This window comes from Homo sapiens, chromosome 1, assembly GCF_000001405.40.
Source record: "Homo sapiens chromosome 1, GRCh38.p14 Primary Assembly".
NCBI lineage: Eukaryota > Metazoa > Chordata > Mammalia > Primates > Hominidae > Homo > Homo sapiens.
The window spans coordinates 162,774,436-162,790,695 of record NC_000001.11 but is presented as its reverse complement, the minus strand read 5'-3'; the positions used below and the strand labels follow the sequence as shown (position 1 = coordinate 162,790,695).

The 16,260-nt window shown below is 39.7% G+C and overlaps 1 protein-coding gene and 1 pseudogene across 7 annotated transcripts in view, besides 1 other annotated feature; both read right to left on the bottom strand.

Annotated features, from left to right (window-relative positions):
• Positions 7–66: a silencer, noted in NCBI's record as "silent region_1495". NCBI's record gives its function as "represses an Ori minimal core promoter by ATAC-STARR-seq in GM12878 lymphoblastoid cells {active_cell/tissue: GM12878}" and the evidence as "EXISTENCE:reporter gene assay evidence [ECO:0000049][PMID:35858748]".
• DDR2 (discoidin domain receptor tyrosine kinase 2) overlaps positions 3,291–16,260 on the bottom strand; it is a 156,543-nt gene continuing 143,573 nt past the window's right edge. For all 7 annotated transcript variants that reach the window (NM_001354983.2, XM_047421554.1, XM_011509587.3 and 4 more), the window contains 4 exons: positions 14,853–15,044; positions 14,326–14,560; positions 11,967–12,116; positions 3,291–10,584 (listed from right to left, as the gene is read on the bottom strand). In NM_001354983.2, the coding sequence (NP_001341912.1) occupies positions 10,450–10,584; positions 11,967–12,116; positions 14,326–14,560; positions 14,853–15,044 (712 nt within the window). In that variant the 3' untranslated portion in view covers positions 3,291–10,449. The remainder of the gene's footprint in view (positions 10,585–11,966; positions 12,117–14,325; positions 14,561–14,852; positions 15,045–16,260) is intronic.
• RN7SL861P (RNA, 7SL, cytoplasmic 861, pseudogene) lies at positions 12,682–12,966 on the bottom strand (annotated as a pseudogene).

Sequence of the window (16,260 nt, the reverse complement as noted above, 5' to 3'; positions counted from 1 at the left end):
GCCCCGCCTCCCGTTGCGTCATCGAGTCTGAGCTGATCCCTCCAATCTCAGTCCGCCAACCGTTCCCTGCCCTCGGAGACGGCGTCGGGTGAGATAGGCCGAGGGGCGGAGCTGCGTGACGCAAAGCCCGGAGCCATTCCAGGCTCTTCTCGCTCCGCCTAGGCGCAGGTGTCTGTCACTGCTTCCTAGGGCTCAGCGGGCGCCTGATCTTTAATCCTGGTGGGGGCGTCACCCGGCCTAGCACTCAGGACAGGATCTGTGACACGCACTGGGTCTGTGCCCTGGCGCCTGAGATTGGCACTTCTTTGCAGGAAGGCCTCACGGTATTTGCACCAGTGCCCATTTTAGAGAAAAGGTTTGGGTCTAGGAGCCAAAGTTGGGCGATTATCATCTAATTTTCCACTCCTTTTTGGATGTACAGATCCAGGCATTGTGCCACTTCACAGCCCAACTTTTGATCCCAGACCTCCTCCTCTAAAGAAGCTTATTTGAGAAAATGAGCACTGATTTTATTAAGAACTTTATGTAGAATCAGACGTAAATTACCAGTATTCAAAACTTGGAATGTGGCGTGGAATCAGAATCTCAGAACTTCATTCTCCGAAGTACTGAGAATGTGCTGTAACCTTCTGTATCAGTGCATCTCAAACTGTGCTAAAGGACCTGTTTTTGTCTCCAAGCCATCCCAGATGGGTGCTTTTAGAAAATACAAAAAAATAAAGTGCTAGAAAAAGAAAAGCAAAAGGCATACAAAACACAAGCCCCGATATTTTATTATTAGATCCAAGACATATAAAAGTACTCTGCCAAAATGAGGCAGAATAGGGTTTGGAGGCAGGGTACTTAAGGCCACTTCGTGCTGACTTCCTAAAGCTCAATCAAGGAAAAACAGCAAGGGCTGGAAGTAGGGAATCTGAGACCAATTGGTGCTGGCTTCCCAAAGCTGGATCAAAAGGAAAACACCTGGGTCTGGGGGCCGAGAGCCTAGGGTCAATTAACACCAACTTCCTAAAGCTAAACCAGAAGGAAAAACCCCATCTCCCCACTCCCCAGTAGCAAAGGATCAAAGGCTACTCTCCCTACAACCTTCTGTTCTCAGACCAAACTGAGGGTTGGGCTGCTATTTTTCAAGGCCCAATAACGAGATGCAGATGAGCTGGGGAGGAAGAGAGTTTTTATTTCTGTAACCGGTTGCAGGGAGAAGGCCTGGAAATTATCACCAGACCAACTCAAAATTACAGTTTTTCAGAGCTTATATGCCTTCTAAGCGAACTGTCTATGTGTAAGTGTGCATTTATCTAAAGACATAAGTGATTAACTTCTTTTAATCTGTAACTAAGGTCTGAGTCCTGAAAACCTTCCTCTGGAGCCTCAGTAAATTTACTTAACCTAAATGGGTCCAGGTGCTGGGGTGATTGCCCTTGTATTCTCTCCTGCTAAGTGGTGGAGGTTTGAGGAGTTCTCTTAGACCCCCCAATAAACTTGTTTGTGGAGGCCTGGGGAGTTTCTTCAGACCACAATAAAACTTGTTTAATCCTAAAGGGGTCCGGTTAAGAATTCTTTCTTTATTTTGTATGCTTTAAGAGGCCCAGGAAAGGCCTAGGCAAAATTCTTGATGGGCTTTTGTTACATCCCAGCCTTTGTATAAGGGCACTGGCTTTTAATATTTAACCACTTAGTACTGAAACAGTTGTTAGTGAGACCTGGCCTGCCACACTTCCACCATGTCTCAGATGGAAAGGGAAAGTGCCTTGGATTGGCTGTGGGCCAAGCACTAAGCATGGGCCATGCCATCATCTGCATAGGGCACAAATTCACCTCAGCCTTTACTTAGCCATAAACCAAATCCTTCATCCAGATAAGGGGTAGCCCATAGGGACCTCAAAAGAACTACTTAAAACCCAGAAAACTTTGTAACTGGGCCCTTGAGCCACTTGCTCAGGCCCACTCCCACCCTGTGGAGTGCTTTCTCAGTTTAATAAATCCCTGCTTTTGCTTTCGCAGCTTCATTCCTTTGTTACTTTGTGCATTTTGTCCAACTTTTCGTTCCAAATGGCCAAAAACCTGGACGACTCACACTCAAGGCCCTCCTTCCAGTGACAAAACTGCTATAAAGGTTTCTAATGCTTACTCTAGGTTTCTGTATTTGTAGTAGACTGGTAATGGGACCATCACTAGCCCCAGCTCATGCAGAATAAAACTGTGTATCATACATCAAACGCTACTGAACATACTTTATTTAATGGCCTCTTTCAGTGTTTTAATTATTTATGAACAGCAATGATCCATAAAACACTGAGATAATTTATATTGGCTTTTGATTCTAGAGGTTTTGATTAATGATACCAACTTACTTAGTAATCATTTATCCTATATCAATAAAATTAGATTGAAAGAACAAATCTGGTTATTAGAACATTAGATTCCTAAATAAAATTTTTTTTTTTTTTTTTTTTTTTTAGACAGAGTCTCACTCTGTCAGCAGGCTGCAGTGCAGTGGCGCAATCTCGGCTCACTGTAACCTCCGCCTCCCGGGTTCAAGCAATTCTCCTGCCTCAGCCTCCCGAGTAGCTGGGACTACAGGCACACACCACCACACTCAGCTAATTTTTGTGTGTGTATATATGTATGTGTATATATATATATATATATATATTTTTTTTTTTTTTTTAGTAGAGGTGGGGTTTCATCGTGTTGGCCAGGCTGGTCTTGAACTCCTGAGCTCAAGTGATCTGCCTGCCTCGGCCTCCCAAAGTGTTGGGATTACCGGCATGAGCCACCGCGCCCGGCCAATAAAATTTCTTTATCATGGGGGTGGAACTCAGCTCCTACGCTTATCCCACTTTCAACTGTTCTAAAGAGACCACAATTTAACAACATTTTCTGAAAGTCATGGAGTAAAATTAAGCCTAATTGTGAGAGTCTAGACCCAAAGACTCATTTTAAAATGTTCTAGAGCTCAGAGGTGATAAGGAATAAGAAGAAGACCTGGTTGTGTGGCTGTCCCATAAAAAAATCATTTCTATAAAGAAGGGAGAGGGCCTGGGCTGTGGAGGCTCAGCATTACCGCAGTCTCGGGATGACCGCCAGCCTAAGACAGACTGAATTAAGTGAAGTCCAGACAGCTTCAGAGCAAGACCGTCTGTCTCTCCTTTCCCCAAGATTTTCATTCAAGCCAAGTGATGAAACTGCTCTCTTCTTCCTTTTTCTGCACTAAAGTTGCTGCTTTCAAGGTGTTATGACTTTTGAAAGATGGGCTGAACTGCTAGAGGTGCTCAGAGAGACTAGAATAGAGTTCAAAATAGATGCCATTTAATTTTATATTTTACAAATATTTTATCACTCATAGGACACAGCTTGATAACCATCATAATATGTTTTTATTGATGAGTGAATGGATAGGTGTGTTTTTTTTAATCATCATAAGTTTATGTTTTGCATGGGCTCATTCTGTTCTCCTGGAAATCAGAAGAACAATAGGGTACACAATGATCCCATCTATCCCTGCCAAACCTTGGCCCTGTGATTTATCTACCATACCCCATGCTGAAAAATGTGCTCAGAAAACTCACATATTCTGAGAAATATTCTCAGAAAACTAAAAGTATAAACTTATTCTCAGAGACCAGGTAAGAAATGGGTTGTTTGGGGTCGTTTCATTCTAATCTCTAGTATAATGACTGAGTCTAAATTCTGGTTTTCATAGTTTTTTTTGGTTTGTGCATGTGCAGGTAGTCTGAGACAGACTATATTTGGATTTAAAAAGGATTTCTGTGTATCAAACAAGACAAGTCTGTAACCATAACGATAAGGGATCACCAGTTAATTCTAGACTGGATTCCCCAGAACTGGACTAATTAATGTGAGGACGTAAAATCCCAGTGTCTCGTATGTTTGGATATGTCAGAGACCAAGATGCTTTCTTCCCAATAAACAGTCAACTCATATGTTAGAGGTCTATTTAAATAATCCTTTGCTGGAAAGCCCCACAAACAGGTGTCCATACCACATACACCCCAGCTCTGGGCCCATGCCCCATCACTTCCCCAGGAATGAAAGACTATAAAGAGCAAAGGTTACAAAGCCCAGAACTGGCACTGTTTATACAGAAAGGGAGATCCATCAGTAGCATGACTCTTTAATCATTGTTATTTACAATTTATCATCTGACAGACTTACAGAGAATAAATAAAGAAAAGAAAATATACAATTGGTATCACGTTTCTTTTTCTAATACAGAGAAATTTTACATATTCTATTTGGAACGTCTATGATAGTTTTAAGCAGAAATTAAATCCATTTGCCCTTTACCCCTTGACAAGACACATCATCTTCCAAAGCCTGCAGAAGGGGGCCCAGATGTTTCCTCATCACAGGAAGAGTGCACCACATCGCTGCAGAAACTCAGTCCTCAGAAAAAGTTACCAGGCAACAAGGTAGAAGAATAGGATATCATGAATAATAAAGGACATATAATGGATAGGCTAGATTACAGACTCTTGGTGTGTTTGCAGGAAGCCAGCTTTCAATTGTGTCCAAGCCTGTTTTCAAGAAAACAGTTTTTCACTGAAAGTGATTACCTTATCCCATTGTGCTTCCCTTGAGTCTCTGCAAATTCTTCCTTGACATGTTCATTGTGATTGTGGATGAGCACAGGCTAGCTTGGGACTCAGATTATTTTCCTGCAAGGCACCTGACACTGTTGCATGTTGTTGACAAGGTGTCTGCAGGAGAAACTAGATAGCTTGTTTCAAATAGGCTGGGTATGAGGCCAGAGTCTGGTCTCTCCTTTTGATTCGGTGTCCTGTGGAGAACTACCTTTCATTGCTGTCTAAATGCCTCAAAAAATTAAGCAGTTCTATAGATCAATTTCTCCATCAAAAAGTATACAAACAGAGAATGCACTTCACCAGGAACAAGTCTGAGTAATTTTTTTCTCTTTCCTCACTTGAAAATAAACTCTCCATGTTACAAGCAAAACAATTCTCCCTACATTCACTCTAGTTAACTGGATGAGAAGTTTTTGTTTCTATCTTATGTTCATTCAAAAAAACAACATTCAGCAAATATTTATCAAGTGCTCACAATGACCTAGAAACTTAGTAAGACACACATTGTTATAATCTTGACCCCTTAAATAGGGGACTTAAAAATGTCAATCATAAAACTCAAAACTGTAATCCACAAAACTGGAGTTTCAACTTCTCCCCAGGTTGCCGCTGTGTTTGCAATTAATTTGGTCTAATGTGGTTGTTATTCCATTTAATAACGGCTATTTAGGCAAATAAAACCTCTCTACCACTCTGAAAATAGTATTTTATCAAACATTAGGAGTCTATACCATTGTATTCTATTCTCTCCACAAGCTATTTCCAGTGCCATTAACTAAGTGCCAACTAACTCTTGACTGAAATACTGGTTTACTCTAAACTCCTTATTTTGTCCCCAGTGCTAATCCTACTCACGTAGAAGCAGCAGGAAGCATCTAGAATATCCTGCTACCTGGTTTTCTAGACAACAAGCTATGAACAGGTCTTACTGTGTTTTGTGTTGCCTAATCTTTCTAAGTTTGTCTTGGATTGTTTCAGATGCCAAACAGCCAAACAAATCAGAAAATTTAGAAGCAGTGTAGGCAGGGTATTGCTCATGACAAAGGAACACATTAATGTGTTAATAGTCTCTCTAAAACTGTAGAACTTTATCCAGATAGTATCTTTCCTGTTGTATCCAAGCAAGGCCAGTTTACAAATCAGCAAGAATTAAAAGTATCCAGCAACTAAATGAATATGTGTGGAAAAACTGGCGAAATTGAAAAAAGGTCTGTAGTTTAGTTAATAGCATTATGCCAATGTTAATTTTCTGGTTCCGAAAATGGACTAAGTGAAATGTTATAAATGGGGAAAACTGGATCTAGGGTAAGGCCACTCTACTATTTTTGTAACATCTTGTGAGCCTTAAGTTCTTTCAAAATAACAAGTTTTTTGTTTTTTTTTAAAGGATACAGCAACTCAACAATTCCCCACTGCTCTTTGGCACCAAGTAATGCAGCTAATTGTAGCAGAAAACTCAGAATGCCAGAAATCAAATCACCATTAACCACTCCAGTCTCTTTCCTTCTCAATTCAGCTCTTGAAAACATTTACTAAGTGAAAAACACATTAATCTGTTTTTATAAAAATGTTACATTTCTATTTAGAAGGATTTCCCAGCAAAAATAAGGATCTGCATCTTCCTGGAGATGAAGAAACATTAGAGACCTACCATATGCACTGCCAGAGGACAGAAGTCTTACTAAAAAGGAAAGACTAGGATGGCAAATTCCAGGTCTATAAATTCGACTTATGATCAAAGACTTAGTAGCCATGTATTGCAATTTTCTTTTTTTCTTTTATTTTTGTAGTTTTGGGCAAAACATTCACTGTTCTGTTTCAGCATACTTCCTTGGAACATCTTCATCTCTTTCCATTTTGCGGACACTCCCCTTCTTCTATTCTCCTTTACTCAAAACATATGGTTTAGACCCACATCATGGCTTTCTTGTGGGAAGCCTGGATGGGACTAGGAAAACACATGTTTCCAACATGGTGCATATCTGTTTGTGCAGATATCAGACAAGATTTAATCTTGTCTAACTTATGCGTATTGTTTTGATGTTTGCCTGTGGTTATTCTGGGCACAGCAATGGTGGACATTATTGAAAATGAACTTTATTGGCAGATGAAAGATAATAGAACATGAAGATTTATGAACTACCATAAGCTCTGCATCTCTGGGTCTTCATTTCCAAAGCAGCACTTGGAAAACCAAGCCCAGTTCAGGCAAAGAGTTCCTTTCTTCTCACCAGCACTTGAAATGGTCCAGAATATACCTGATGCTCACACCACCTTCCTCATCCACTTCTGAAATGAAAAGGTCATTCCCCGATGGTTGCTATATCTTTTCCAAGAGGAACTTCCCCTTTCTTAAAATTCTGAAAAATTCCTTTCCATTTCATACACTGAACCTGACTTCATTTCTTAATAAATATTTTTATCATCTCTATCATCCAGAATTTCTTCTTTCTCCATCCATATTTATCTTTTACTTCAAGACACTTACTTTCCTATTCCCTTTCAAAACTCCTTCTTGTTTCAAAATGGATTCCCAATGGCTCTAGCTACTCCTGTTTCTACCTTGCTCGACTTGACCTTCCCCTGTGTCTTTCCTGTGCATTCTCCATTGCCCCTTTTTATGTAGCCTCCTTTCTAGCCCTGACCTTCCTCCCTATTCAGTCATATGCACATTCACGTATCCTTTTTTTTCACCCCACTTGCACACAGTCCTCTTCTTTATACAGTCTTATATACTTGCAAGTGATCTTTCCACAACATTAAAACCACATTTTGCTCCTCAGGCACCTCTTTGCACTCTAGATCTTTTCTGATCATATGTGTCTGGATAGCACATCAAGTTTCAGACCTGGCTATCAGCACATTAGCCAGCAAGAATATAAGTTTAGATCTGACAATCCCAAAACACAATCTGCACATAAAATAATTCACATATATCATGAAGAAGATAACTTACTGCAAAGGTAATAAGGCCCCACAGTTTCTGATCATTTTTTTTCTATCTCCTTTTCCAAATAAGTCCTAGCTTCATTCTTCTAATTCAAATTTGAACTACTTTCAAATTCTACATACTAGGCCCTCACCATGTATTCTGTTGGGTTGCATGGATTTGTGCTACTAAACTCTAAAGGCATGACTAAGCTAGAAACTAAACCTGTGTCTGTAATACAAAGTTCTCAGTGCCAGAAGTTGAAGCCTTCCTCATCCCAGAAAAGGACACAGATATGTATTACATGATAATACATATTGGGCAGCCATCTGAAACATATTACTTCTGTGACTCAAGGCCAGGAAAATTCAGACATTGTAAGTTCATTTTAAATATGATTTTTTTTAAAAAAAATATGGAATCATAGAATAACCCAGTGAACTGGTGCAGAATCATAAAAAAGAATAAGTGGAGAGATTTTAGGCAAAGGAAGATATAATAATATTATTTTCTCTTGCTCTATAAGAAGTCATGGTGTGATCTGGATGTAGCCCTACCAGAGACATGTGGATAAAGAAGAATAGGCTGCAGGTCCTGAGTTCAAGTCCCTTTAATTCTAATGAAGCTAATACATATCTTGAAAGTGGAGTGTGGCAGGTCCCAAGGTATCTAGTCCTGCACATATCAAATATGCTAATGTATTTGGAAACACCTGGTAAACCTAAGGCACAATACAAATGGCATGTGTTACTATTACTACCATTACAGTGATTTCTTCCATGATCTCTTTTGCTGACTACAATTTTCAGAGCAAGAAATGACCAGATTACTAAACCCATCAGTTATAGATCCAATTTTCCAGTGAGTACTGGACATATCAGAACAAGAAAGGACCTCAAAACCATTTAATCTAATTTCCTCATCCTATAAATAAGAAAACAAAATGCAGAAAGACCAAGTGATTTAGCCAAGATGACACACTTAGTGTGAAGCAGAAAGAGGATTAAAGCTCCCAAACCAATGCTCTCTTGACTCTCAAACCAATGATTTCTCCACAGTTAGTCCTGGGATAGACTAAAGCCCAAAGGCATAGGACAACTATGGGGAAAGGACATTTGCTAGGATCAGAAGATGACCTGCAAAATGGAGCCTGTGGACTTGGGATCTATGCTTATGCTGTGGCGTGGAGCAATGCTGAAAGCTGAATGGGGAAATACACATGTTCCTGAGAAACTGTTGTAGAAGGTAAACTGGTGAGGGCAACAGAGGCAGACCCAAGGGGTCAAGGCTAATCCTTCTCAGCTTGGGAAACTGATTTGTAATGTTTTCTTGTTTCTCCTCAATTGGAATTAAGAGTTCCTTTTTCCAGCTTCCCACTAAATCTGAGGATTTGTGGAGTGTGAAAACTCAGAATCTGCTCTGAGCAGATTCCTTCTTGACAGTGGCTCTGTTTCCATGAATTCTGAAGCCACAGCCCTGAGCTTTCTTTTCTGCTGGTCACGCCATCTCAGAGGCAAGAGTGTGTATACTCAGCAGTAGCAACAGATGTTCATCCTGTGCCTCTCCAGAATCAAGGACTCTCGGAGTTAGAAGGACATTAAACATTGTCTCATACCACCATCCACTTTGTGTTTGAAAACCTCCATTTTCCTTGCATTGTTCTTGAGCCTCTATCTTAACCTCTCCAGTGACAAGAGACTCCTCACCTCTGGTGGCAGCCCATTTATCCTTGTATGTTCTGAGTGCTTCGTTTTCCCCAATAAGGAATGGAAATCAGTCTCCCTGTAACTTCTCCACATCAGTTCCTAGGACAACTTTTTTGGGGACACTCAGAACAGATCTATTCCCTCTTAGACAAGGCCATTAGGTATTTATGCCTGAGAAATTCAGCCCCAAGCCCAAAGATCCCACAGAGGCTTCATCCTTGAAAATGCTAGAAGATTTGGACAAGATGAACTCAAGAGTCTACCATCAAAACATCAAGATATCAAAACATCAGACTTTACTGATTAAAAACTCAGATTCTCACTAAAACACACACATGAAAATATCTGAACAAGACAAAGAAGAGAACCCTCTTACAAAATCACAAATAAATGGTGGATAGCATGTCTGTTATGTGTCCTCCATTGACCTCCTTTCCTATGTCCATTATCTATTCATGAATCCTTCCATCCATGAGGTACTTTTTTTTTGTAAATGACAATCCCCCTTCATACACTCTTGCAGCAGACATTCTTTCCTATCTACATCCCCAGTTGTTTCATATATGAACTTCAATCCTGACCCCTGCCCATGAATGAACAGAACACCCATTTCAAGAAATTGGGGGTTTTCAAGAATATATCATTCACTTTGACAGGAGAGAGAAATACAAACAGTGAGACATGTCCAGAGGCCAAATTAGAAAACCACCTGTGATTAGTTGCTGAATTCTGAGTCCTCAGATTCTCCACATCTATCAAGTGTTTTCCCTAAACTTAATCTCATGTTTCCCAAGACATTAGTATTCTTCAAGTTTTTCTTTCTGAAGATTCTTTTAGAATGACATGGAAAAATATTGTAGAATCTGCACATTTATAAGCACAAGTATAGTTAACCTTTATAAATTATCTGAATTTTCTAGCCTTTGTTATCCAACACTTTGGTATATCAAAGATTTTCTTTTACTAGATTGTATCTGCCCTAGGCTTTTTTTTTTCCTTTTTTAGTTCTTTAATGTAAAAAAAAAAAAAAGTGTATATGAGTCAGGGGTAGGGAGTGGGGGTGACCAGGAAAAGAGGGCAAAGCAAACAAGCCTCTGTCTCTCAGTTTCATTAAATGTCCAGATGGAGTGGCATAGGCATGGGTGAGTGGTAGGTCTTGTAGGGAGGACCTGAGCCGTAGGAACATGGCCAGGCACTGACAGCATCACTCGTCGCCTTGTTGAAGGAGCAGAAGGTGGATTTCTTGGAATGAGGGACGGTTCTTCGTATCTCTTCTCCAGCAGCTGAGCATCAGCTTATACACAGAGTCAGGACAAATGGCTGGTTGAGGGAGGTAAGTCTTTGGGAACAAAAATAAAGGAAAACAAAAGAGAGAGAGAGAGAGAATATTACAAAGACGGGGGAAAGGGAAGTATCTTTGCATCATGGTTTGATTTGCCCCCTGCCCACTTTCTTGAACTTGATAACTGAAATGGGTGTAGTGTCCATTTTTCCTACTCGTGAAAGTTCTGAATCATATCAGCCCTTTTCTAAGCTGTTCCATTTGTCTTCTGCAGTTGTCTGCAGCAGAATTTTTTGATGGGCCATTATGTGGTCCCTACCTTCATGCAAAAGATGAAACAACCAAAAAGAGACCAAATCTTCCATTTATGGGCAACCCATATTGAAGTTCATCTTGGCTGAGCCGATCATGGCAGAGGCAGAAAACAACATTTTTCTTTGGCCCACTCACTTATCTCATGTACTCAGGAGTAAATTTTCCTTTGACTATAGTAAGAAGGCAAATTGCCTCATAACCAAGATAGCTAATTTAGACTCCCTGCTGCCAAAATATTTACAGAGTATCAAGATACAATTAAATTCTCAGACCCCTCTCTTATTTTTAATATGCATAATGTATTATCTCTTGTCAATACCTTATCTATCTTTGGCTTGCTTGGATCTGTTCAAGCCACAGAAGATCCACTTTTTATTGTCTGCAAGATCCTTCCCCCAGCTATTATCCTTTTCCTGGTAAAGATACCATAATCCAAGGGTATGCTGTTGCCAGGCCCCTTTGGGGAAGTGCGGTGCTGTAGTTACTGGCAAGCTTTAAATTCCAGATCTCACAGGAATTTTAAATCTAAGCCACCCAAAAAAAAGCTTGGAGTATCTTGGCTAGGAATTGAGACTCCTGGGGAGCTTGGGAACTCATCTTTCCCTGAGTCCTGAGATGTCACAATACTGGGCCCAGAGATGCCTTCCAAGAGCAACAAGTTTAGGATATATCTGCCCATTTTCAGACATCCAAGTCTAGAAACATTGCTAGATAGTCAAAACCAACCCCATTTCTTATACTAAGCTATATTTTTAATGAATGCTAATACATCCCTTTTACACTTTTATTTTTTGACCCAGAAGAAAAACCACATGGTCTAGATCAAGAAATAGATAAATCATGAGAGATAGGACTTTGTTTCCTGCTACCTTTGAGCTGGGGAGAAACCTGACATGACCCTTTATGCTCTCCAAGAGTCAATGAGTTGACACATAGATAAAGCAAAGTGTATGGATGCCTGGGGAGGATACTGGTCTTTCACATCATCTGGATAGTTAGTGACAAAGACTAACACCTGGATAGTCTGTCTTCCATCTCGGCCCACTCCTGCTAAGGCAGGACTTGCCATTCTCCATCCTTCAAGGTACACAGGTCCACATCCATTCATCCCCAACAGTTCTTACCTGCCTCCCTTGGTCTCGGAAGAACTCTCCAGTATTCTCAATAACCTGTTCATCTGACAGCTGGGAATAGGGCTGTTCTTGACAAAAGGTGAAAGTCTCCCACAAAGTAACCCCAAAGGCCCACACATCACTTGCTGTAGTGAACTTGCCCTATTTAAGTAAAGAAAAGAATGGGAAATCAGAATAACCTGTGCACAACAACACCCTGTTAAATTTCATAATCTGCAGCTATACCCCTTCCCCCACCACAGGCAAGGAATTCTGAAAATGCCAAGATGTGCATGGAGTATTTAGAAACAGCCCATTCTTTCATTCTCATGATCTCAGCTTGGTTCTGTTTCTCTGGGGATGAGATCCAAGAGCTGAAAAAAACGCAGCCATAAGCTATTTGACTCTGCAACTGAGTGTTAGGTCAACCTTTCAACTCTAGGGTAGCCTTGGGAAAATGCTCCTGAGAAAGGCAAAATCTGAATGGGAAGTCAATGGTTTTTATGTTAGAGATAGAGGAATCTAGTTTAAGTGCCTGCAGTGAATCCAGGACTCTCATTTACCAGTTCAGTGATAATCACAGTGTTGAAAGATAGACTTTAACAAGTGACAGCAATGAGATTCAGGTGTAAATAGCATGCATTGACTACTCACATTTTCTACTCAATACAGACAACCACACTGTGAAGTGGATGATATTATTTATTATTAAATATTTTTTCCTTTGAGAAATGGGGTCTCATTATGTTGCCCAGCCTGGAGTGCAATGGCCAGTCACACGTTTGATCTCATTACTGATCAACACGGGAGTTTTGACCTCCTCTGTTTCTGACCTGGGCTGGCTCATCCCTCTTTAGGCAACCTGGTGGTCCACTGCTCCTAGGGGTGACCATATTAATGCCAGACTTAGTGAGGACACCCAATTGTCATAGCGCAGCGCAGCCCAGATTTTCATCCTCCTGCCTCAGCCTCCTGAGTAGCTGGGACTACAGGTACATACCACCATGCCAGTTATCCTTATTTTTTAGATCAGAAAAATGAAACAGGAGAGGTTTCCCAAATTCTTCTGGTTAATAAGACCATTAGTAGTGGAAAAACTGGATTTGAACCAAGGTCCTCTGAATGTCAGTCTAATATATTGTTTTGAACACCATATAATACCTTTAGGGAGAGTAATGCCTAACTATCCCATTAGAAATGGGTAAAATATAGCAATTCACATATATAGGTGAAAAAGATCTTTATAAGGATTTATGTAAACTGGTGTACATCACAGCATCATTCATAATAGCAGGAAATTGGAAAGTACTTAAATATCAAATTATAGAGGCATTATTAAGTTATAGTATATATCTACACATGGAATATTATGCAGATAATAAAATGTTAAGTTAAAAATAGAGATAGAGAATTGTATGGCATAGTGTCATCCCAATTATGTAATATAAATTACATATATGTACATATGTATATAAATGCATGCACAGAAAAAAAATTGCATGCATAGAAAAAATATATGTATAGAAAAAAATCCTCTAAGAAAATATACCAAAGTATTGATAGTGGTTATCCTGGTGAGTGCAAGGGAATAACTATACATTTTTTATTTCAAAATTAATTTACAAATCCTATAAGAATATTAGCAGGAAATAAGCAGATTAATCATAAATGAACAAAACCAAATTGGTCTCAGACTTTTCTCTGCAATGTCACACAAGAAAAAAGATAAAATAACATGTACATGGCATTGTAGGAAGTAAAAGTGTATAGTCTAATGAGTCTATAAATCAGCTGAGTGGTTATAAAATCAACAATAAAAAGTCTCAGGTATGCATGGACAGAAAATATACCTCTAATAGAGATATTTGGGAAAAATTACTCACTTATGGTATGGAATATCAAGAATCAAATAAAAATTATAAAGCAAAGAATGATGAACTTAAAAAGAACATGTTGAAAAGTATTGAAATACAATTATAGGAATTAGTCTATGTAATTATGAGAAACATGCTTATGAAACTAATGGAGAAGAAAATATTTTGTATAGGTAACATTTCTTTAAATGATAAGGTTTTTAATATCTTAAATTAAGAACAATCACTAGGTAGAAATGATAAAGAGAAACAAAGATAATAAATCTCTTATACTTTTTAACTTCTCTCCCTAAATTTTTATGTGTGTTAATTTTTTAGCAGAAATAGGCAAGCATTAAATAATAAGAATTAGTACACAAAGAAAATAATTTCAAATCAGAGAAAATACTACAGTCTATTGAGTTTGCCTCCTGCTGTCTCAGGTTTGTCTCCACGTGTCATGCATGTGAGCCCACAAGCCAGTTGTTAGACAGGGCTTTAAAATGCTGAGAACTTACCAGCAAGATACTCTCCCAAGACATCCAGCGGATAGGGAGCACTGCCCGGCCCTGGATCCGGTAATAGTCACCACTGTACAGGTTCCTGCTCATTCCAAAGTCAGCTATCTTGATTGTGTAGTTCTTACCCACTAAACAGTTTCGTGTGGCCAGATCTCGGTGAACAAAATTAAGAGAGGAAAGGTACTTCATGCCAGAGGCAATTTGGGTAGCCATAAACTTCAGATTGGTGTAACTGAGGAAATAGACAAGAAGACAGAAGGTAGCCTATGGAAACAGGAAGATGTGAAAGGTACACATTCTAAAATGGTATCAACAAACTAGGGTTGAAAGCTCAACATTCTTTCTCTACTCTTGATGAATCCCTTGCGTTTCCCCAAAGGGCAGCTGCTCCATTATTCCCTGCACACTGACTTCCCCCACCATCCCAGAACATTGATACACTTTAAGGCTCACTGCTCCCTATTTTCAGATCCCAGGTTACTCTCATGACCACAGGGAGGAGAAGGAAGACCTGGCTTGTTTACCTGACAGTGCGTACATCGCTGGAGGAAGAATTAGGGGGCTCGTGGCGGGAAAGAAACTGATTGAGATCTCCATTCTCCATGTATTCAGTGATCATACAGAGAGGGTCATCAGTGATACACACAGCTAATAGATGGATGATGTTTGGGTCCTTGAGCCGAGACATGATCTTTATCTCCTTAAGAAAATCATTCCTTGGGAGGATACAGACATAGATAAACTCAGAAGTTGCCAGAGTCAGAATCAAGAGAGAGAAGAATGCACACCAAGGCCTATTCCTGGACATTATGCCAAATCTTGTTTCCCTTTGGATAACTTTTGAGAGGACAGAGAAATTGACACCTGGATCTGTCTCATTCTATTCCTCCTGAAATATCATGGGCCCTTATTCAATTGTAATGTTTTTGAGAACAAGATCCATGACTTATTCACATTTCTATCCCTCACATCTAACAAAATCCCTGCCACACAGAAAGTGATTAATATTTGCTGAATCAAAAATAGGCTGCTAAAAACCACTCTACAGAGTAAAATGTTTCACTGAAAATCATATCTTAAGTGCACGAGGATATTTACCTTTTTTTTTTTAAAGCCATGGAGTCACTCTATTACTAGTGAAGAAACTTTGTATGATGTGAACAACCATCTTTGGCTTATCTGATTACTCTTTATTTTCTCATACTGACTTTTCTTAATGCAGTACGAACCATCAGTCAGTTGCAACATGTATTTAGTAGCCTGTCGAAAACAGAGCTCTTTAAAGGCTGTGGTGGTAATCATGTCAAAAGAAGTATTCATTTGACCAAGACTAATAATTGTTTGAGTACATGGTGACAGACACCCTTGGGTCATAAAGTAGCAAGATTTTGTTAGTGAGGCCTCTAGCCCACATTCCCAAAACTGTTGGAGCAGATGAGTTATAAGCCCTCCAAGAGTTTGCTAGGAATCCTGGACTGGAAGTCATACTACGTCAATATAAACCACTGGAATCAATGCCGTCCTGATGCAACACCTCCCCTCTTTCATTCCCCCTTCCGTCTCAAACCAGGGGTTTCCATGGCTTGGGAGGGTTTGCAGTCATGGCCATCCATCATTGCTAAGGACACAGGTGGAGGAATGGCAAACTTCACCGATCGGAACAACGGAGAAAGGCTTTGTCATATCCTATGTCCTGTGGTTTGGTTTGGTTTTGTTTCCCCTCATGCCACTTTCTCCAATCATGTGCTAAGATTAATATAAGAAATACTTCGTCTCTCTATAAGACCCAGAGAATGTCACTTTTTATTCTTACCAGTATCTTAAAGATTGAAATTATCAGTTAAATTTCTAAAGCCTCCAGTTTCATTTCCTCACCTTTCTCTCTTCTTTATCTTACATCTTGTCCATTGCAAGACTTTTAATGAAGTCTAT